This window comes from Homo sapiens, chromosome 3, assembly GCF_000001405.40.
Source record: "Homo sapiens chromosome 3, GRCh38.p14 Primary Assembly".
In the NCBI taxonomy this organism is placed as follows: Eukaryota; Metazoa; Chordata; class Mammalia; order Primates; family Hominidae; genus Homo; species Homo sapiens.
In genome coordinates, this window is record NC_000003.12 from 182,853,351 (window position 1) to 182,876,105 (window position 22,755).

The 22,755-nt window shown below is 35.4% G+C and overlaps 1 protein-coding gene across 6 annotated transcripts in view; it reads left to right on the forward strand.

Annotated features, from left to right (window-relative positions):
- Window positions 1–22,755, forward strand: part of ATP11B (ATPase phospholipid transporting 11B (putative)) — a 128,126-nt gene that overhangs the window by 59,847 nt on the left and 45,524 nt on the right. For 5 of the 6 annotated variants that reach the window (XM_047447784.1, NM_014616.3, XM_011512593.3 and 2 more), the window contains 9 exons: window positions 4,528–4,678; window positions 5,812–6,009; window positions 12,106–12,348; window positions 12,918–13,093; window positions 14,026–14,094; window positions 15,728–15,801; window positions 15,878–15,981; window positions 19,006–19,187; window positions 20,462–20,665. In XM_047447784.1, coding sequence (XP_047303740.1) covers window positions 4,528–4,678; window positions 5,812–6,009; window positions 12,106–12,348; window positions 12,918–13,093; window positions 14,026–14,094; window positions 15,728–15,801; window positions 15,878–15,981; window positions 19,006–19,187; window positions 20,462–20,665 — 1,401 coding nt within the window. Of the gene's footprint in view, window positions 1–4,527; window positions 4,679–5,811; window positions 6,010–12,105; window positions 12,349–12,917; window positions 13,094–14,025; window positions 14,095–15,727; window positions 15,802–15,877; window positions 15,982–19,005; window positions 19,188–20,461; window positions 20,666–22,755 lie in introns of those variants that run through there. The other variant, XM_017006008.2, reaches the window with a different exon arrangement.

The following is a 22,755-nucleotide window of genomic DNA, read 5'->3' on the forward strand; positions in this document are numbered from 1 at the left end:
GTGCGCGCCACAACACCCAGCTCATTTTTGTATTTTTTAGTAGAGACAGGGTTTCACCATGTTGGCCAGGATGTCTTGATCTCTTGACCTCTTGATCCGCCTACCTCGGCCTCCCTGCAGGTGTGAGCCACTGTGCCCGGCCAATAAATCATTTTTATATCTTATAATAGTAAGAAACAGTTAAGAAAATGAAATTTTTAAAAGGTTATATTTACAGTAGTATCAAAAAGCGTAATATATTTAGGAATAAGTTTTTTTTTAACTTGTGCAAGATTTATATAATGAAAATTACAAAACATGGCAAGATAAATTAAGAACTAAATAAATGGAGAAATCACATTAATAGATTGTCAAGCTCAGTATTGTTAAGCTGTCAGTTACTGTGTAGATTCCCTCAGTCTCAAAATCACAGCAATCTTTTTGTAGTAATTGACAAGGTAATACTAAAGTGTATATTGAAATGCAATAGCCAAAATGCATATTCAGATGCACAGCAAAAACAATCTCTTAAGAAAGCTAAAAGATTTACCTTACCTGATTTAAATACTTAATATAAAGCTACAGTAATTACAGTATGGTATTAACAAAGATGATAGTTCAATAGAATAAAATAGAGAGTTGAGAAGTAGACCATTCATGTGTGGGTTTGTTGATTTTCAACCAAGTAACAAGTCAATTCAATGAAAAATTTAGTATTTTCTACAAATGATGCAGCAATTGGATATTCAAATGAGAAAAACATGAAACTTAGCTTCTGCCTTATGCTGTACTCCAAAAAGTTTTGAAAACAAGTCATAGACCTAAATATAAAAGCTAAAATTACAAAACTTTTAGAAGAGCTGGGCGCGGTGGCTCACACCAGTAATCCCAGCACTTTGGGAGGCCGAGACGGGCAGATCACCTGAGGTCGGGAGTCCGAGACCAGCCTGACCAACATGGAGAAACCCTGTCTCTACTAAAAATACAAAAATTAGCCGGGCATGGTGGTGCATGCTTGTAATCCCAGCTACTTGGGAGGCTGAGGCAGGAGAATCACTTGAACCCTGGAGGCGGAGGTTGTGGTGAGATGAGATCGTGCCATTGCACTCCAGCCTGGGCAACAAGAGCGAAACTCCATCTAAAAAAACAAAACAAAACAAAACAAAACAAAAAATACTTTTAGAAGAAAACTTAGAAAGATATCTTTATGACTTAGAGTAGGTAAAGATTTCTTAGGATACAACAAATATAATAATTAAAAATTGATAAATTACACTTTCTCAAAACTAAAAACTTCTGCTCATCAGGCTAAACATTTAAAGAAATGAACATACACGTTACAAACTGGGAGACAATATTTGCAAAACATGTATCTGACCAAAGACTTGTATCCTGAGTATATAATATATATGTGCATGTGTTTACACACACACACACACACACACACACACACACACACACACACACACACCTGCCTACAAGTCAACAATGAAAAGAGAAGCTAATTAAAAAAAATGGGCAAAAGGTGGAAGGTAACCACCTTTTGTCATCTTTTCAGCTGAAAATTACAAAACACTGAGGAAAGAAATCAAAGATCTAAATAAATGGAACAATATATCATGTTCATGGGTTGAAAGATTCGTACGGTAAAGATGCCAGATTTCCCAAATCGATTAATAGGTATAATGCAATTTCTATAAAAATCTCAGCAAGTTTTTTTGTAGAAGTAGAAAATTTATTCTGAAATTTAGATAGAAAAGCAAAGGAACAGTTTTGAAAATGAAAAATAAAGTGAGAAGAATTGCTATTGATGTTAAGTGTTACTATATAAGCTACAGTAATCAAGACAATTTGGTGTTGGTTAAAGAATAGATACATAGATCAGTGTTACACAATAGAGAACCCCAGAACAGACCAACACTAATAGGCCCAATTGATTTTTGGCAACAGCACAAAAGCAATACAATAGAGGAAGTGTAATCTTTTTCAACAAATGGTGCTAGAACAATTGGATACCCATAGCAAAACAAACAAACCCAAACCCCCACTGTATGTAAAAATTAATTCAATTAGAGTATAGATTTAATGTAAAACAAACTTTTAGAAGAAAACAGAATCTTCAGGACTTAGTGTTAGACAAAGAGCTAGAAGACATGACACTAAAAGCATAATTCCTAAATCAAAAAAATTAATAAGTTGTAGTTAATCAAAGTTAAACACTTTGGTGCTGTGAAAGACCCTCTTAAAAGGATGAAAAGACAAGCTACAGACTGGGGAAAAATACTTGCAAACCACAAATCTTCCAGAGGCTTTATGTTTAGAAACATAAAGAACTCTCAAACTCAATAGTAATTCAGTGATCCAATTAGAAAATGAGCAAAAGGCATACTTCATATTTCACCACATGCATAATACATATTTCACCAGAGAAAAGCTGCAGATTACAAATAAGCACATGAAAAGATATTCAGCATCATTACCTGTTAGAGAGAAGCAAATTAGAACCACATTGGGATATCACCACACCCATTAGAATAGTTAAAATAGTGATAATACCAAATGGCTAGGAGGTGGAGAGACTGAATCTCTTATATGTTGTTGGTGGGAATTAAAAATAGTATACCCACTCTGGAAGATAGTTTGGGAGTTTCTTACAAAACTAAACATGTTTACCATATGACCCAGCAGTTGCACTCTTGGGCATTTAACTCAGAGAAATGAATTTTATGCTGACACAAAACCTCAAGCAGAAATGTACATAGCCACTTTATTTGTTACAGCAAAAAACTGGAAACAGCCTAATGTCCTAGAAATCTTTATTGAGCTTTTTTGTGTATCTGTTGCTGTAGTAGGTTTTCTGAGATGTAATTCCATCTCTTTTTGGAGATTTCAATCAAGTTGGAAGTTAAAACTAATACACAGTAAAAAAATTAGGTAATAGGAGCTGTGGTACTAGTTTTAAATTTAAATAAGGGAAAGTTGAATGTAAACCAATGTAATTAGGACAGACTTTAGGAAGGAGATGGATTTTGAGTTAAATTTTGAAAAATAGGTTAGTAATGTAGGGAAAAAGGAGAATATGTCTGATGAGGGTAGACATGAGCAAGAAAGATGGAAATAAACCAGGCATTTTGTTGCCACAAGGAGACATGACTAGTTTAGTGAAAAGAGGTCAAAATTTAGACTCAGACAGATGTAGATTTGAATGTCATATCCCTTCCTTACTAGCTCTATGGGGCTTTAGACCAGTTGTTTTCTTCTCTTGATCCGGGTGTTCTCATGTATAAAAATGCGAGCAGTACTATAGGTGAAGTGCTGAATACTATGCCTAATACATAATAACCAAACGAAAGCCAGTTCCTTTCTTACATTCCTTATTTACTGTCACAGCAGAATATATAGAGTTTACATTGGAACATGGTGGAATATCAGCTTACTCCATAGTTAAGATTAGGTTCAATTATGAAAGGCCTAGGGAGAAAAATCAGAATTCAGGCATTTTTCAGTCTTTTAAAGAGTTTTTACAAAGCTTGTGATTCACATTTTCCCTCAATATTTGTTGGATGTGAGAGTTCATTATAATAACATAACTTGTTTTGCATACATTTGAATTTATAATGATGAGTTCCTTTAATTGTATTAATATGTTTTTAAACTTAAAGACATGTGGCATTAAGCTTACCTAATAAAGAGAAGAGGGATTCTGAAGTCAATTCCTGACATGTGTGATTTTGGGATATTTACAGAATTATTTTTGGGCTTTGATCTTTGTCAGTTAAAAAGTATATAATAATTTCCCCTTTACAGGGTTTTTGTTTGTTTGTTTGTTTTTTCGAGACAGAGTCTCGCTCTGTCGCCCAGGCTAGAGTGCAGTGGCACGATCTCGCCTCACTGCAAGCTCTGCCTCCCGAGTTCATGCCATTCTCCTGCCTCAGCCTCCTGAGTAGCTGGGAATACAGGCGCCCGTCACCACGCCCAGCTAATTTTTTTTGTATTTTTAGTAGAGATGGGGTTTCATCGTGTTAACCAGGATGGTCTCAATCTCCTGATCTCGTGATCCACCCGCCTCGGTCTCCCAAAGTGCTGGGATTACAGGCGTAGTGAGCCACCACACCCAGCCAGGGTTTTCATATAGATTAGGTAAGGTAGTAGATGTGACAAACATTTTATAAAATTTTAATGCTATACAAATGCTATTTTTAGCTATTACACTTAAGGTGGGTGCTGAAAATGTAAAAAAAAAAAAACTTAGAATAATTACTTATGGCAAAAATAACTGACTAAAACCGTCATTTACTGTAAACATTTTTAATGGTAACATGGCTATATTAAATAGGCTTGTAACCTGTGTGCACTGGTTCTTTTATTGCTAATAAATAAATTCTATTTAACGGTTATTTCTTGAAAACAAAAGCTGTGTATTTTAAAATAGTTACAGTAATACCCTCTATGTTTTAATATCTTCTCTAATACAAGTACTAATTTTCAAGCAAATGAATATAGTAATACATGAGTTGTATGTTTTATATTCTCTTTTTCTTCCTTAAGGTCAATGAATACATTTTTGATAATTTATCTAGTAATTCTTATATCTGAAGCTGTCATCAGCACTATCTTGAAGTATACATGGCAAGCTGAAGAAAAATGGGATGAACCTTGGTATAACCAAAAAACAGAACATCAAAGAAATAGCAGTAAGGTATTTTATGGTGTTATTGACTGTGTCATAAAGGAAACTATTACTTGGCACGATTAGTGCTTTGGTAGTGACTTCTGATTGGAGAGACCACTGTAATCCTAAAACTGTTGGTACTGAAGGGTGACAGAAATGGCATTGCAAATGCAGAGAAGCCAGCGTGTTTGTACTGATACGCTTTTTGTAGTTTACGGCATAAAAAGTTGTATTCCCTGTGGCATGACTTGAATAGTTCAAAGAGGTCACAAAATTTTAAATCCATCTATATTTGCATTTCACATTAATACTACAAACTCAATTTTCTCTTCCACTTACTGTGTCTTATAAATGAATCAAAGAGTAAATGGATGTATTTTTAATTTTGTCTTAATAATTCAAGGATGCTTGTTATCAGTCTTAATATGAAGTAATATGCAAATTATGTCATATATTTTAAATTGATTAAACATGGACTACCAAGAGAATTTAACCTATAATTTTGGTAAATAATTGTTCTCCAGGTTTCACTTTAGATTAAAATCTTTGTATTGGAAGACAAATTTGGATCTCAAGAAACTACAAAGCAAATAATCACAGGGTCGTATTTTTAATATCATTCACAATTAGGTACATTTCCTTTCACCAATGCATATTGAAATATGGAGCCGCTAAAGCCGTTAAAGTAGGCTATTCCTATATAATCTGCACTTAAGAGTTTTAATTTCTGGCACTTTTAACCTCGCAGTTATTTTATAACTTTGTAAAGTTACACTCAACTTTTAGTAGTTATCTGATTTTGAAGGGTAATAGTAGAATGGGATAAATACACTGCAGATATTATAATTATAATTTTGCCAAAGGTAGTTTCAGTCATACCAGGCTTTTTGTTAGCTTCTGAAAGTAACGAATTAAGTTACTTGAATTTAACCTTTTCATCATTTACTTTATCAAGATTCTAATGAGCAATAAAATAACCAGAGGAAATGTAATGTTAAAAAGACAATTCAATAAATGAATTTCAATTCATGAGACTATTCTACCTCAGAATATAGTTGATGGTCTATGTAGGCATGAAACTTTCTGGTAATTTTCATCAGTAATACTGAAGAAATTCTAGTTTATTTTTTCTTTTCAAACAATTATTTCCTTTTTTCTAGATTCTGAGATTTATTTCAGACTTCCTTGCTTTTTTGGTTCTCTACAATTTCATCATTCCAATTTCATTATATGTGACAGTCGAAATGCAGAAATTTCTTGGATCATTTTTTATTGGCTGGGATCTTGATCTGTATCATGAAGAATCAGATCAGAAAGCTCAAGTCAATACTTCCGATCTGAATGAAGAGCTTGGACAGGTGAAAATGATCCTAATATTTTGTTTCTCTAATTTGTTATTTTTATCAAAGCAATACATGGACAAAGATTAATGTAACAAGGTATTATGATGCTTATACCAAAAACAACCCCCCTTTGCTCCACTCCTAGCTGTTCCCAATTTTTAAACCCTAAGTTGTTTCTTTTGTTATTTACCACTATATTTCTATTTGATATTCTTTCTTATTCTTAAGTTTTAGACATTATCTACTATGGAATATAAAGACATAACTCTTACACTACTCTTCCCAGACACATATCCCTTTGCTTCTCCATAGCCCCCTAATACTATCATATCACAATTTGGGATTTAATAAATATTTTTATTAACATTATTATGATTGTTTTAATATTGTTCACTAATTCCCGGTTCTATAGATGTGTCCTGTAATACCATAATTACATTTCCCTTCTTATATATTTTGTTTTCCCAAGAGTTATTTGCTCTGTTTTTTCATTTCCTCAATTTCCATGTGCCACAAACAAGTCTCTGATAATATGTGCAGCATCTGTCTATATATTCAAACATACCAGGTAATCTAGAAGTTCCTTTCTTCCTCCCTGCCTTCCTTTTTTTTTTTTTTGGTAGCAATGTTTTTGGAGGCTTCCACCTTTCTGCTCCGATTGGATTATTCTTTACTCTTTCTGGGCTTGCTTCTCAGCTGTCACTCTGGACTTCACTTTACCATCACCCTGGAAATTCCTTTGCCTCTCTCCTGTTTTGGATCTCCTCTTTCTTGCATCCCATGTCTTCCTACCTGTGGCTTATTCTCTTTTGGTGCTGTACATCTTCTAATAACTTCCTGAGAAAGGATGTATCAGAGGATAATGTTTTGAAACTTGGCATGTCTGAAAATATCTTTATTCTCTTTTCACACTTGATTAATAATTTAGCTGTTATTGCATTGCAGATTGAAATCTTCAGAAATTTGAAGGGATTTTATTGTTTTCTAGCCTCCAGTGTTGCTGTTAGAGAAATCCAGTTCCATTCTGATTCCCAATTCTTTATGTATGATCTGTTGTTTTATCTCTGGAAGCTTTAGGATCTCCTTATGCAATAGTTCTGAAATTCATGATGGTGTACCTTGGTGTTCGTTTTTCCTTTTTTATTTTTTGTTTCATGGGCAATTAACTCTGTGAGTCTTTTCATCCTGGAAATACATGTCTTTCAATTCTAGGAAATTTTCTTGTACTATTGTTTTGATAACATGTCTTTCTATGTTTCTCTTGTTTTGAAACTTACTATTTGCATGTCCTACCACTTATATTGACCCTTTAATTCTCTGACTTCAATTTTCAGTTTTTATTTATTTGTTTTTATATTCTACTTTCTGGTAGAATGCCTCTGATTTATCTTTTCAGTATCTTTTGATTTATTTCTGCTATAATATTTTTAATTTCTAATATTTTGGTATTCTCTGGATAGTTTTTTAAAATTGCCTCTTATCCCATTTCTTGAACATAATCTATTCTTTTACCTCCCCGAGGATATTAATGACAGTCAATTGAAGTCTTCTTCTGCTCCCTCTATTATCTTTGCTTGTAGTGCATTTTCCAGAACAGCCAGTTCTGCTATAATGTGATATATGCGTTCCTAAAATTCACTGCATAATGCAAAATTGCCTAGTAAAAGCCACAGGGTTTATGAGAGAATGGGATTAGGGGTACAACACAAAAACAATAATACTTTTTTTTTTTTTTTTTGAGACGGAGTTTTGCTCTTGTTGCCCAGGCTGGAGTGCAATGGCGCAATCTTGGCTCACTGCAACCTCCGCCTCCTGGGTTCAAGCAATTCTTCTACCTCAGCCTCCCGAGTAGCTGGGATTACAGGCATGTGCCACCACGCCCGGCTAATTTTGTATTTTTAGTAGAAACGTGGTTTCTCCATATTGGTCAGGCTGGTCTCAAACTCCCGACCTCAGGTGATCCTCCCACCTTGGCCTCCCAAAGTGCTGGGATTACAGGTGTGAGCCACTGTGCCCAGCCTAATAATACATTTTTTAAAAGATAGGAACCTAATAAAAACAGCACTTGCCAAATTGTTCATGAATACACAAATGCTTCAATAAATACGGCACTTACCTGGACCTGAAGTTTGCCTGTGGAAGATAGGCATCAGAAGGGTTGCAACTTAAGTGTTACTGTGAAGTGTGAAAGGGAAGGTTATCTGAAATCAGAGGGAAGGTTGTAATACCAGATGTGGATGAGTGTGACTCATAACACATGGTGAACTGAGATAGCTAGTAACTGAGTTTTGGGCAAAATTTGCACAAAGTTTTGATTATGCTCAAATTGTCTCTTATTGTATCAGTTGCATTGGGATAAATTTGTGTTTTCAAGACAGTGTTACAACAGAACTGATTATAATTTGTTTCAGATTCTACCTTTTATGTAAGGAGTGATCCTCAAATGGATGCTAATCTTTGGCTATCATTTCAAATTTAAAAGTACTCTACCCAGGAGGCTGAGGTGAGAGGATGACTTGAGCCCAGGAAATCGAGGCTGCAGTGAACCCTGGTCACACCACTGCACTCCAGCCTGGGCAACAGAGTGAGACCCTGTCTCAAAAAAAAAAAAAAATGAAAGGCTGGGCTCAGTGGCTCATGCCTGTAATCCCAGCACTTTGGGAGGCCAAGGTGGGTAGATCACTTGAGCCCAGGAGTTCAAGACCAGCCTGGAGAACATGGCAAAACCCCATCTCTACAAAAAAATACAAAAACAAAAAATACAAATACTAGCTGGAATACAAAAATTAGCTGGGCGCAGTGGTGTGTGCCTGTGGTCCCAGCTACCTGGGAGGCTAAGGTAGGAGAATCACTTGAGCCCAGGAGATGGAGGTTGCAGTGAGCCCAGATTGTGCCATTGCACTCCAACCTGGGTGACAAGAGTGAAACCCTGTCTAAAAAAAAAAAACAAAAAAAACCTCAGGCACTAATATGCTTATCAGAAGCTATTGATTCAGTGGGCCACACCTTAAGGTAATGAGCTGACAGGCCCAGCAGGTAATATTTCTGCTGCTTATGGCTGCTAGAGCTGGCCATTGGATACCTGTTTTTAGTGCACTGCCTCCCTTCTGTGTTCAGCTGTCTGCGGAGACCAGATTCTGTCCAGTTCAGCCTACTAGGGGAATACACCTTCCAGCTGTTGCTCCAATAAATGAGGGGCGTTCTGAAGTTTGCAACTTTTAAAGAGATTTCAGAATTTAAACTACTCCTGATAGCTTGTATTTTCAGCCTCATCCTGTACTCCCACATTCAGGGGTAGCTGGTAGGTCTACTTCCTGAGCGTTTCTGAGAATGGGTTTTCTCATCACTTGGGTTTCAGATTCTAAGTTCTGGTACATCAGTTACCACTCATTCATCTCCTTTTCCATCTTCCAAACTTGTGTCAATCTTCCCTCTCATGCTGACTTTTTTACCATTATTTTTGTTCTTTTTCTGTTTTTTTTTTTATCCTCATGGTGAAGTTTTAAGAGAACCAGAGATAATTAAATGTGCTCAACCTGTCATGTTTAACCACAAGTTGATCCATTTATTTATTTATTTATTTATTTTTGAGACAGAGTCTCACTCTGTCTCCCAGGCTGGAGTGCAGTGGTGCAATCTCGGCTCACTGCAAGCTCCGCCTCCTGGGTTCACGCCATTCTCCTGCCTCAGCCTCTCCGAGTAGTTGGGACTACAGGCACCCGCCACCACACCTGGCTAATTTTTTGTATTTTTAGTAGAGATGGGGTTTCACCGTGGTCTCGATCTCCTGACCTCGTGATCCACCCGCCTCGGCCTCCCAAAGTGCTGGGATTACAAGCATGAGCCACCGCGCCTGGCCAATCCATTTATTTTTAGTAACATTTAGGAGGCCTTAATAATTTATGTTAAATATTAATTCATGTCACATTTCTTTAATTACATATTATATATGTAAGGCCTAAAGGCCCATTTTTACTTTTCTGAATAAATTTTTCCAATCTGCCTTTGACCTTTCTTTCTCAACTCTCTTCCCCTCCTTTTTTCTTCATGATAGAATTTTTGTTTTCCTGGAACCTCACATTGTGTATGCATACTCATGTCTGCTTTGTCTTTAAGAAACTTCTGGTGATTATTTCTTTAATTACTGATTTTCTCAGCCTCTCTTTTTGCTTTTGAAACTACAAGTATTTAATGTATGTTTACTGCCTCTATTCCTATTTTGTCTTTTACCAATGAAATCTACTTTATTTCATATTCTTCTGTGCTCTTTCATTTCCATATTATCCAAAAAACAACTCTTAGGAAGGTTTACAGTGATGACCTGTTTATCATGAAAGTTAAAAGATTAAACTTCTTGATTTTATATATATATATATACTTTTAAATCAAAGTTAATTTATTTTATCCATCCCTACCATCTAATCTTTTTTCTAAAGAATCCTCCATGACTGATAGTGCAGTCTGTATTCTAGTAACCTCTGAGTATTATTTCTGTTTGATTGCTAATGTATCTTATATATTTTCTGTATAACTCATCCCTCATTCTTCCTGATCTACATGTGTGGGCTTTTTTTAATTAACTTGCATGGGGTCTTTAAATTCCAGTTCAACATTGCTATAAATACTGGGCAACATTTAATATCAAATAGTAAAGATAAAGTATTCTATCTCTTATTTCCAGTTTCACCATTTATTTGCTTTTTGACTTTAGGTAAGTTAAGTAATTTTTTGCCAAATTTAACCCTACCTTTCTTTTTGGATATCGATCTTTTTATCCTGGAATTGTGCTGAACTTATATATTCTATTTTTTTTAGTCAGTTTTTTAGAATTTTCTGTATACAAGGTCATATCATGTGCAAATGGAGATAGTTTTACCTCTTGTTTTCCAATCATGTTAACTTTTATTTCCCTTTTCTTGCCTAATTGTCATGGCTAGAACCTTAAGTACAATGTTGAGTAAAAGTGACAAAAGCAGTCTTATTCCTGATCTTAGGAAGACAGCATTCAGTCTCTCTCCATAAGGTACGATGTTAACTGTGAGTTTTTTATAGATACCCTTTATCAGGCTGAGGAAGTTCCTTTTTATTCCAGTTTGTTGAACGCCTTTATCATGAAGGGTATTGGATTTTTATCAAATGCTTTTTCTGTACCTATTTTGGTGGTTATTTTATCAATAAAATGAAGGCCAGGTACCATTTTATTAATATGATGGATTACATTAATTTTTTTAAGTGTTGAGTCAATCTTGCAATTCTGGGATAAATCCCACATATTTGTAGTATATAACCCTTTTTATATGTTTCTGGATTTGATTTGCATCTCTTTATAAGGGATGTTGATCTGTAGCTTCTTTTCTTGTGATTTCTACATCCCTTTTTAAAGGACTTCTTTCTCAAGTCATTATTGCAGTAATCAGATTTTCATGATGATCCTGGTTGGATCAAGACTTGACTATTACATCCTTCTTTTTTCATGGACATACTTTCTTTTAAAGTACTTTTTCTGGAATTAGTCTCCAAAAGTAATAAAATAATTTGTCTTACTTACTTTTAAAAATATGTTTTTTTCTTTTAAACATCGATTTTTTTCACTAAATTTGTTTTCTGTCCTCAGTTTCAACTTCTCTCTGTTTTAGACAATTCGCACCTCTAACTTCTTGTGTTGCTGTCACTATCACTGTGTATTCCTATTCCTAGCTCTGCACTATTTCTCCTCACTCGGATACCCTTTCCCATTCTACATTATTAAGCATCCTTTCCACCCTGCTTTAGAGATAATTCTTAGAGTCCTACTACTTAAAATACCTTAGCCAAGAAAAAGAAAAGAAGCATTAATACCAAATTCTCGTCAATTCTACAGATAAACATGTACGTAAAGATGCCACAAACTTCAAAATCTATGTAGCTTTAAACTATTTTGTGTTACCCTGTTTTCTTTCCTTGGCATCTATATTTATTTAATTGTGCTTGGATTATAAGAATCTCAGCATCCATATATCAATATTAATAGATAAACTGGACTTCAGGAGAGCGAGGACAGAGATTTTTTTCTTGTTTAACATAGGACCATGAACACAAAGGTTTATTTTCTTTTGTTTTCTATCTCTATAGGTAGAGTACGTGTTTACAGATAAAACTGGTACACTGACAGAAAATGAGATGCAGTTTCGGGAATGTTCAATTAATGGCATGAAATACCAAGAAATTAATGGTAGACTTGTACCCGAAGGACCAACACCAGACTCTTCAGAAGGAAACTTATCTTATCTTAGTAGTTTATCCCATCTTAACAACTTATCCCATCTTACAACCAGTTCCTCTTTCAGAACCAGTCCTGAAAATGAAACTGAACTAGTAAGTAATTTTTAAATTAATAAATAAGGGTTTCATATGAAATAATTCTCTTCAGTAGTTGATGAGTTGCAGGAAAAAAAGTTTGTGTCAGTAGAGCAAGGAATATACATTTGAAATTCATATATTTGATTCAACAATATAAAATATAATCCTAAGAATTTGTTGTTACAGCCCAGTTTAACTTGTTATTTAATACGTGTCTGCCTTAGCTCTTTGAGTATTTAAATGGAACGTAGTTAAGAAAAGCCCTTACTGCCTTGAAGTGAAGAAGACTTTCTTTGAAAAATAGAGCTTAAATTTATTTAATACTTTTTGAGACCTCACTTCTTCTATAAAAAAGTGTTCCCCTCTACTTGCAATGTGGTTGTACCTCCTAAAAAGATGCTCACGTGTTGAAGGGTCCTAAGCAAATGTGACATTTTACTTTTTGAAGGCAGAAACAACCAACTGTTATTCAGGCAATCAAGGTTGTAGCACTCTTGTTCTAGATCTTAGAATTTTGCCTCTGGTTTCCTAAATGGTATGTGGAAATGATATTTTTATCATGAATATTAATTACATTTTTACAGATTAAAGAACATGATCTCTTCTTTAAAGCAGTCAGTCTCTGTCACACTGTACAGATTAGCAATGTTCAAACTGACTGCACTGGTGATGGTCCCTGGCAATCCAACCTGGCACCATCGCAGTTGGAGTACTATGCATCTTCACCAGATGAAAAGGCTCTAGTAGAAGCTGCTGCAAGGTAATTTAGTCTGATTTCCAAATCTTCGGAAAAACACCATTTAAATAAATGTAACAATATTAGAATCATCATTTAAAATTTTCAAACATAAATTCGTCATTTTAAGTTGTCAGAATTCATATAAATACATAAAAATAGAAGTACAATTTAAATTTTAAATGACAATTTGAAGTCATTTTATTATCAAGCTTGCATTGAGTCTTTTTTTAAGATCTCTTTGAAAATCTGATTACTATAAAAATCTGTGTAATAGAATTTATTAAAAATGCTTGTGCATATGTTGTACTACACCTACTCTGATCCTTCTAATCCTTCTAGTCCTTAAAAGTATATATATATGTTTGTGTATGTGTATATATATTTATATATTTTTATATACATTTTATAAAAATATGTAAGTAATAAATAAAAATTATTATATATAACATATATAAATAAAAATATATATTAAAAAGAATATATAAGAATATATATAAAATATATATATATTTTTTTTTCTTTTTTTGAGATGGAATCTCACTCTGTCACCCAGGCTGGAGTGCAGTGGTGTGATCTCAGCTCAATGCAGCCTCTGGGGTTCAAGCCATTCTCCTGACCCAGACACCTGAGTAGCTGGGACTGACTACAGGCACAGGGCACCACACCTGGCTAATTTTTGTATTTTTAGTAGAGATTGGGTTTCGCCATGTTAGCCAGACTGGTCTTGAACTCCTACCCTCAGGTGATCAACCCGCTTTGGCCTCCTGAAGTGCTGGGATGACAGGCATGAGCCACCACTCCTGGCACCAAAGTTGTAATATTAAAAGGAAATATTTTTAAATGCATTTTGAACTTTGATTTTAAATGTTTTTATTCAAGTTAAGCTATAGTGACATTGTGAAATATGCAGTATTATTTCTTAAGTCTCACTTTTTTATCCTTTTGATGTCTAGGATTGGTATTGTGTTTATTGGCAATTCTGAAGAAACTATGGAGGTTAAAACTCTTGGAAAACTGGAACGGTAATTTTTTTTCATATATTGGAATGTTTTCTGTGTTAAGTGTATATAGTATAGAATAAGGATCAGTAAACTGTAGCTCACAGGGCAAATGTGGCCTATATTTTCTGTTTTTCTACAGCCCACAAGTCACATTACTTTTTTTTTTTTTTTTTTTTTTGAGACAGAATCTTGCTCTGTCACCCAGGCTGGAGTGCAGTGGCACAATCTTGGCTCACTGCAGCCTCCACCTCCCAGGTTCAAGTGATGCTTGTGCCTCAGCCTCCCAGGTAGCTGGGATTACAGGCATGCGCCACTATGCCTGGCTAATTTTTGTATTTTTAGTGGAAATGTTGACCAGGCTGGTCTGAAACTCCTAGCCTCAAGAGATCCACCCACCTTGGCCTCCCAAAATGCAGGGATTACAGGTGTGATCCACTGTGCCTGGCCCACATTACATTTTTAAAGGGTTGTTTTAAAAAGAGGTAAAATATGCAACAGAGACCATGTATGGCCTGCAAAGCCTGAAATATTTACTCTCTGGCCCTTTACAGAAAAAGTTACTGAACTCTGCTCTAGAATGATGTTAACATTATATTGTATCTCATCATAGTTATAACAATAGTATGCTTTGAATATTTCATCTATATTTTAACTTAATGATTCTTGAATTTACTTGTATGTTTATTTTTAGATGCTTCTGGGTAGTGAGTTTTATAGGTTCTTCTCACTGAATAAAGAAAACTTTCCTTGTATTTCCTGTGATTTTTATCTTTCAAACATGAAGGAACAGCTGTCTATATCTAGTTTTTCCATTCTTTGATAAATTAGTTCATGCTTAATATACTTACTCCTTTCATGGTTTTAGCAATTCTGATCATATGTCAATTCCAGCTGTGCTTTTCCAAACTATGCTTTTCCATACTAGATAGGGCCCATTCTTTGGCTACTTTCATGTGAGAGCCTGTCTAGCTTATTTTATCAACTTATAAACCATTATTCAACTCACTGTTTTTCTTGGAGATGTGTAAAGATTTCATATGTAAATCACTGTGTAAGATTCATCTGGAAGACTTTAAGCCACACCTCATGTAGCCACACAAATTCTTTTACAGCTCCCTAGAGAGGCACGAGGGAATGGACCCCCGCACACACACACCCAGGTTCACAGTCACTGCTATAATGAGCCTTTGATATTAATGTGTGTTGTGTTTGTCAGGTGTATTAGGACAGAAAAAAGCGTTGAGAATCAGTTACCTTTTTTAGTCAGAAAAACATGGAGCTGGGCAGATCTGGATTCCAGTTCTTGCTCTGCCACTCACAAGCTTACCTGACTTTAGGCAAATTACTTAATCTTTCTGAGGTTAATAGTCCTCATCTATAAAAATGAGATAAGACCTACTTTCTTGGCCTCTCATGGATATTAAATGACATAAGGTGTGTAAAATACATGGCATTTGGTAATTACTCAATGTCAGTCTCTTCTATTTCTTCCCTGTTTTGTTATTAATGGCATGTAACCTATCATCATGAAAATGGTATTAATTCTTGTTCTCAATTAGCCATTTTATCTTATATATGGATTATTTCCATATAGTCACTTAATATTATTTTAAAAAAAGTAAAGTTTTTGTCTTTCTTACTTTCTTTTGTTTAGGTACAAACTGCTTCATATTCTGGAATTTGATTCAGATCGTAGGAGAATGAGTGTAATTGTTCAGGCACCTTCAGGTAACCAATCTAAACTTTCATGAATTTTTATTTATGTAATATTAAGAGTCTGATAACTCATTTTTTTTGTCTCTAGGTGAGAAGTTATTATTTGCTAAAGGAGCTGAGTCATCAATTCTCCCTAAATGTATAGGTGGAGAAATAGAAAAAACCAGAATTCATGTAGATGAATTTGCTTTGGTGAGTGCAAATTTCTATGATTTAAAAAACTCTAAAAGATATATTTATGAAATATTTTGGACTTTATTTCTTATAATTTATCAAAAATTGTGGACATTCTGCAGTTGTGTTACACTGTGTGTTGGCTCCACATTCCTTTTGTGAAAACTGACTTTTAACGCAAGCAAAAATATATCTTCTCTTCAAACCTACTCTACAGTCGGGGCATTTCTGGTTACAAGGTCTACTCAAACTATGCTATTTTAGAAGAGTGTTTATTAAACAAACATAGGGGAATCCTAATGATGTGGAGAAACTGGAACCCTTATACACATATTGCTGGTAAGATTATAAATGGTACAGCCACATTGAAAAATAATTTGGCTAAGTTCCTCAAAAGGTAAACATTGAGTTACTATATGACACAGCAGTTCTACTCCTGGGTGGACACCCAAGACAGCTGAAAACATGTTCACAAAAAAATCTTATACACGAAATGTTCATAAGCAGCATTATTTCCAATAGCCACAAAAATGGAAAACCCCAAATGTCCAGCTAACAAGTGGATAGGCAAAATGTGGTATATCCATATAATGGAATATCAGTCAGCTGTTAAGAGGAATGAAGTACCAATATATGCTACAACATGGACGAATCTTGAAAAGAGTGTGCTGAGTGAAAGAGGCAGTCAAAAAAGGCCTTATATTAATACTACATTTATATGAAATATCCAGAATAGGCAAATTCACAGAGAAAGCTCATTAATGATTGCCAGGGGCTGGAGGAAGGGGAAAAAGGAGAGTCCTCGTGGGAGCAATGAGATATTGTGGATTTAGATAGTGGTGATAATTGCACAACTCTGTGAATATGCGATATAACACTGATTTGTACTGTTTGAAGAGGTGAATTATATCTCTCATTTACAAAATTTAAAAATATAGGGGAATCTTGTTAAAACAAAGAGCCATCATTCATGTAAATGGCAAAATTATTATGCAGTTCTCTCTCAGTCTTAGAACTTCATGATCTCTCATTTTTGCATTTCTGTGAATGTGTGCTCCACACTCACCTCTGCTCATCTGCCTTCTTTAACAGTTTATGATTTTTTTCCCATTATTTGTTTCCTAATTGTTTATGTTCCAGTTTACCCACCACATCGTAACATCTGTGAGAACAAAGACATTGTTCTACCTTATCACCATTTTAATATTTAAAATAATGCTGGCACATAGTTTGTGCTCAGTAAGTATTTGTTATAGAATGAATTAATTCATATATTAATAACAGATGGTTTTTTAACTATTAATTAAAAGAAGCACATTTATAGGTATGGGTCATTTATAAGTCAGGGAATGGCAATATTTAGAAATCTGCTAAATAGGGCTGGGCGCGGTGGCTCACACCTGTAATCCCAGCACTTTGGGAGGCCGAGGCTAGCAGATCACGAGGTCAGGAGATTGAGACCATCCTGGCTAACAGGATGAAACCCCACCAGTAGTCCCAGCTACTCGGGAGGCTGAGGCAGGAGAATCACTTGAACATAGGAGGCGGAGCTTGCAGTGAGCCAAGATCGCACCACTGCACTCCAGCCTGGGCAACAGAGCAAGTCTCCGTCTGAAAAAAAAAAAAAAAAAGAAATCTGCTAAATAATGTTATATAGTATTTTTAAGTCTACGCTTTCCAAGTTGTTATTAGGATATTTATTATGGGGCTCAGCACAGTGGCTCATGCCTGTAATCCCAGCACTTTGGGATGCTGAGGCAGTATCACTTGTGGCCAGGAGTTTGAGACCAGCCTGGGCAATGTAGCAAGACCCCATCTCTACAAAAAAATAAAACATAGCCAAGCGTGGTGGCACATGTCTGTAGACCTAGCTACTCAGGAGGCTGAGGCAGCAGGATCACTTGAGCCCAGGAGTTCAAGGCTATAGTAAGCCAAGATCACACCACTGCACTCCAGCCTGAGCAACAGAGCAAGACCCTGTCTCTAAAAATAAAAAAGAATATTTATTATTGGTTTTCTTGAGGAAAATGCATGTAGCAAGAAAAGGAACTTTTATAAGTCTTTAGATTTAGATATCAACTTTCAGAGATGAATACTATAAGAAAACTTTGGCCCTAGTAGAACCAGATAATCAATTCTGATTCCAATTCACTGGTGAAGATATATTACTTAAAATCATTTATTTGGTAAATCTAAAAAGTATTTTTTATAATGGCCATTTTATTGACTTATTTGAAAGGTAAATTTTGTCATGCAATGAATCTTTAGGAAATTATGGTCTCCTTTGCTTTAGAAAATTGTACGAAGTAGGTAAAAAATGGAATTGTAAGTTAAAACAGGAAGGTAGAACCTGCAGCTGTCTCTCTCTCTTGACAGTCTTGAAGGTATTAAGAACTTTCTGGCTTTCCATGTAACACAGTTTAAAAACCACTAATAGGATAGTCTTTATGATCTATTCTAGGCTCTAATATTCTACAATTCAGTGACCTTAATTATTTTGAGCAACTTTTTTTTTTTTTTGAGACAGAGTCTCGCTCTTTCGCCCAGGCTGGAGTGCAGTGATGCTATTTCGGCTCACTGCAAGCTCCACCTCCCGGGTTCACGCCATTCTCCTGCCTCAGCTTCCTGAGTAGCTGGGACTACAGGTGCCCGCCACTATGCCCGCCCAATTTTTTGTATTTTTAGTAGAGACTGGGTTTCACCATGTTAGCCAGGATGGTCTCGATCTCCTGACCTCATGATCCGCCTGCCTTGGCCTCCCAGAGTGCTGGGATTACAGGCGTGAGCCACCGCACCCAGCCTATTTTGAGCAACTTCTTAAGAAAACATCAGAAGTTGAAAGAGGTATATGTGTCCCATAACTCAGATCAGTAGAGCTTTGTGACATTATTTATTTCCTGTCACTAGGTGATAGTACTTTTTAAATGATTTGTGATTGACTTTTGGTACTAGGTCTTCAGTGTATTTTGATAGTGACTTCTTGATTTTCTGTTTGTTGTTTGTGTTCAATTTTTGTCTTTAATTTTTATTTGTTTGTTTTAGAAAGGGCTAAGAACTCTGTGTATAGCATATAGAAAATTTACATCAAAAGAGTATGAGGAAATAGATAAACGCATATTTGAAGCCAGGACTGCCTTGCAGCAGCGGGAAGAGAAATTGGCAGCTGTTTTCCAGTTCATAGAGAAAGACCTGATATTACTTGGAGCCACAGCAGTAGAAGACAGGTAAGTATCAGATAATTAAAAAATATTACTTTTCTCTCATAGGAATTTTTGTAACCAAGTATTCTAATATGTGACATAAATTCTCTTTACTAACATCCCATGATATATTTAAGATCAAAGTAGAGAACTAAAGCCTTAATTTTTCCCGGTCAGTATGTACAATTTTTGTTCTAGCTAGATACCTGAAATGGATGAAAGAAACTAGCTCTCTATAGTTTTTTCTTATAGGCTTGAATCTTTAGAATACTCCTCAGCATGTCATGCAAACACTTGAAGCACCTGCTTAATTCTCCAGCCTTCCCTCCTACCACTGTCTCCTTCCGCTTTATGTTTCAACAATACCAAACTGTCTCTGCATGCCACCTGTAGCTAAAACTATTCTGTTTTGTGCCTATGTTGGCCTTCTGCCTGGGTGATTCTTCCCTTCACCATCCCTCTGTGACTACCTATTCATAAAGTATAGCTTAGATATTAGCTCCAGTCCAGTAAGACCTTTCCTGACACCTAAGAGGATTAAAAATTCTCTTCTTTGTGAAGTCTCATTGTAGGTAGTTCTGTTGTTGTCTTTGTGGCACTATATTATAATTATTTGTTTAAAGACTTCTCCTCTGTTAACCTGTGAAATCCTTGAAGTCCATTTATTCTTTGTCTTTGTTCCCAGAACCTATCTCAATGTCTGTTTCACAGTTTCTTAAATTTAGCTGAATTCTGAGATTGAATTCTGCAGATTAAGTTTGTTGTTATGTTTGCCTCCACCACCTAGACCTAAGGGTGTTTGCATATTTTTAAAATCTATGTTTTCATTTACTTTTTGGTTGTCCTTACGAGATTTCTGAGACTCACCTAAAGTTAGCTAGACCTTTATTTTCTACAGTCTGATTTTTTAACTATATGAGTGGTTTGAGATATTTTTTTAAATCAAAACAAAAGGAGAAAAATCTTCTTGTTTGAAATGTAAGACTTCGTAATAAAACAGGAGTTTATGAAGAGCACATAGTTTCATCCTATGAATAGCAACTTTGAAGATACATTCTTAAAATATGAAATTGTAGATTTTAATTGGTTGATTTTGTGTTAACCAGACAATTACCAATCTGTTTATTCGTGTTTCCTTCCTAATGAGAGAAAATTCCAGTTATATTGCTATATTGTATAATAACATTCCTAGGTCAAGTCAAAGAGTTTAGAATTATCCTTAAATATACTATGTAGTTTAACTTAAAATACAGTCATAAAAGTATTCTCTACTACTAATTTGTTTCTGTTCTTTTCAGACTACAAGATAAAGTTCGAGAAACTATTGAAGCATTGAGAATGGCTGGTATCAAAGTATGGGTACTTACTGGGGATAAACATGAAACAGCTGTTAGTGTGAGTTTATCATGTGGCCATTTTCATAGAACCATGAACATCCTTGAACTTATAAACCAGAAATCAGACAGCGAGTGTGCTGAACAATTGAGGCAGCTTGCCAGAAGGTAAGAATATAGGAACCTGTATCATACCTTTCAGGGGTTAGCAAACTATGGTTCCCTGGGCCCGATGATATAGCCCACTGTCACTGCCTGTTTTTTACAGCCTATCAGCTAAAAGTAGTTTTTACATTTTTTGATAGATGAAATCCAAAGAAGAAGAATATTTCATGAAGTGAAAAGTATATGAAATTCAAATTCCAGTGTCTATAAAGTTTGATTGGAACACAATCACATTCATTTGTTTACATATTACCAATGAGTGCTTTTACACTACAGCATCAGAATTGAGTAGTTGCAGCAGAGACTTTACAAAATACTCTCTCTTCAGCTTTACACTGCTGTTTGATACTCTACAAATCACAGTGAGATACATATAATGTGATAGTGTTTGGAGTGCCATGCATAGCACCATGTTGCGACATTTTACTGTTTTTTATTAGTATATGGCCATCATGTCAAAACAAGAAAAGAAAAGTGGACTTTTAACATTACGATTTTTTTTGAAGCACTGTGGATAGGGGATTATTTTATTTTTGAGTTAGATGGCAAAGCATTGTTTATTATGCATTGATATGTTAGCTGTGCTACCTGTTTGAAAAGACATTTTCAAAGATGAATTATAAATCTCATTACATACAGTTCTATCGTATGGAAATGTAAAAATCTCGTTACAGATGGACATTAACAGATGAACATTTGCAATGTTAACTTTGAACCCCAATTAAACAAAGTACTATCCCTTGCCCAAAAGAAGTATTTTCATTCTTCTCATTAGTAAACCTCTCTTATTTAAAAAATTATACTCAATGATTACTACATTTTTATCTTAGTGAAAATTTTGTTGAGATTTTTTCCTCTCATTCTGTAACTACCTATATCCTCAATTTTGCCTCTTGGCCCACAAAACCTAAAATTGAAATATTTACTCTCTGGCCCGTAACAGAAAACATTTGCCAACCCCTGATCTAGTTTGCATGACCAAACTGGGAAATTAAGCTGCATTTAATTGTTCAAGATTATTTCATAAGAATTTATACTCTAAATTCTGTCTTTTTTGTAAATCTATCTTTTATAGGCATATCAAATTTTTGCCCTGTATGGGGGCAAATGATGCCCCATTTAACACAGTCTAATTTTTCACAGTAAACTAGGAAGGGCTTCATTTGACCATCAGAGCTGCTTGTATGTAAGCATATTAGGTCTCCTGCAGGTTTCTGTTGTTTGCTGTCTTGTGATACTAATCCAGAAAAATAAATACCAAGAGACAAATACCATAGTTGTTAATATACATTCAGTGTTTTCTATTTATATTTTTTATGCAGGCATTTATGTGATACCAAGTCTGGATTTCATCTTTTTAAAACCTATTTAAGAGATATTTTAAAAAGACCATGCAGGGGATTTTTTGTTGTTGTTGTTTTGTTGTTGTTGTTGTTTGTTTGTTTTTTGAGACAGAGTTTCACTCTTGTTGCCCAGGCTGGAGTGCAATGACGCACTCGGTTCACCACAACCTCCGCCTTCCGGGTTCAAGTGATTCTCCTGCCTCAGCCTCCTGCGTAGCTGGGATTACAGGCATGCACCACCGTGCCCAGCTAATTTTGTATTTTTAGTAAAGACAGGGTTTCTCTGCATTGGTCAGGCTGGTCTCGAACACCTGACCTCAGGTGATCTGCCTGCCTTGGCCTCCCAAAGTGCTGGGATTATAGGTGTGAGCCACCGCACCCGGCCCATATAGGGTCTTCTTAAAATATCTCTTAAATAGGGTCACACTGGATCTTTGAGTGCAAAAAGACAATTAATTTAGGTAATTATACTACAATTTGGGGACAGTGTCAACAACATTGTGGCTATTTAAACGTTTAAATACTGCAATATCATGAACTCCCTAAAACACAGAAATTAATTGCTCAGAATCATTTACTTTATATATGCCTTTTTAAATATTTTTTTCTGGCTGGGCACAGTAGCTCATGCCTGTAATCCCAACACCCTGGGAGGCTGAGGTGGATCGCTTGAGCCCAGGAGTTTGAGATCAGCCTGGTCAATGTAATGAGACCCTGTCCCCACAAGAAATTTAAAAATTATCCAGGTGT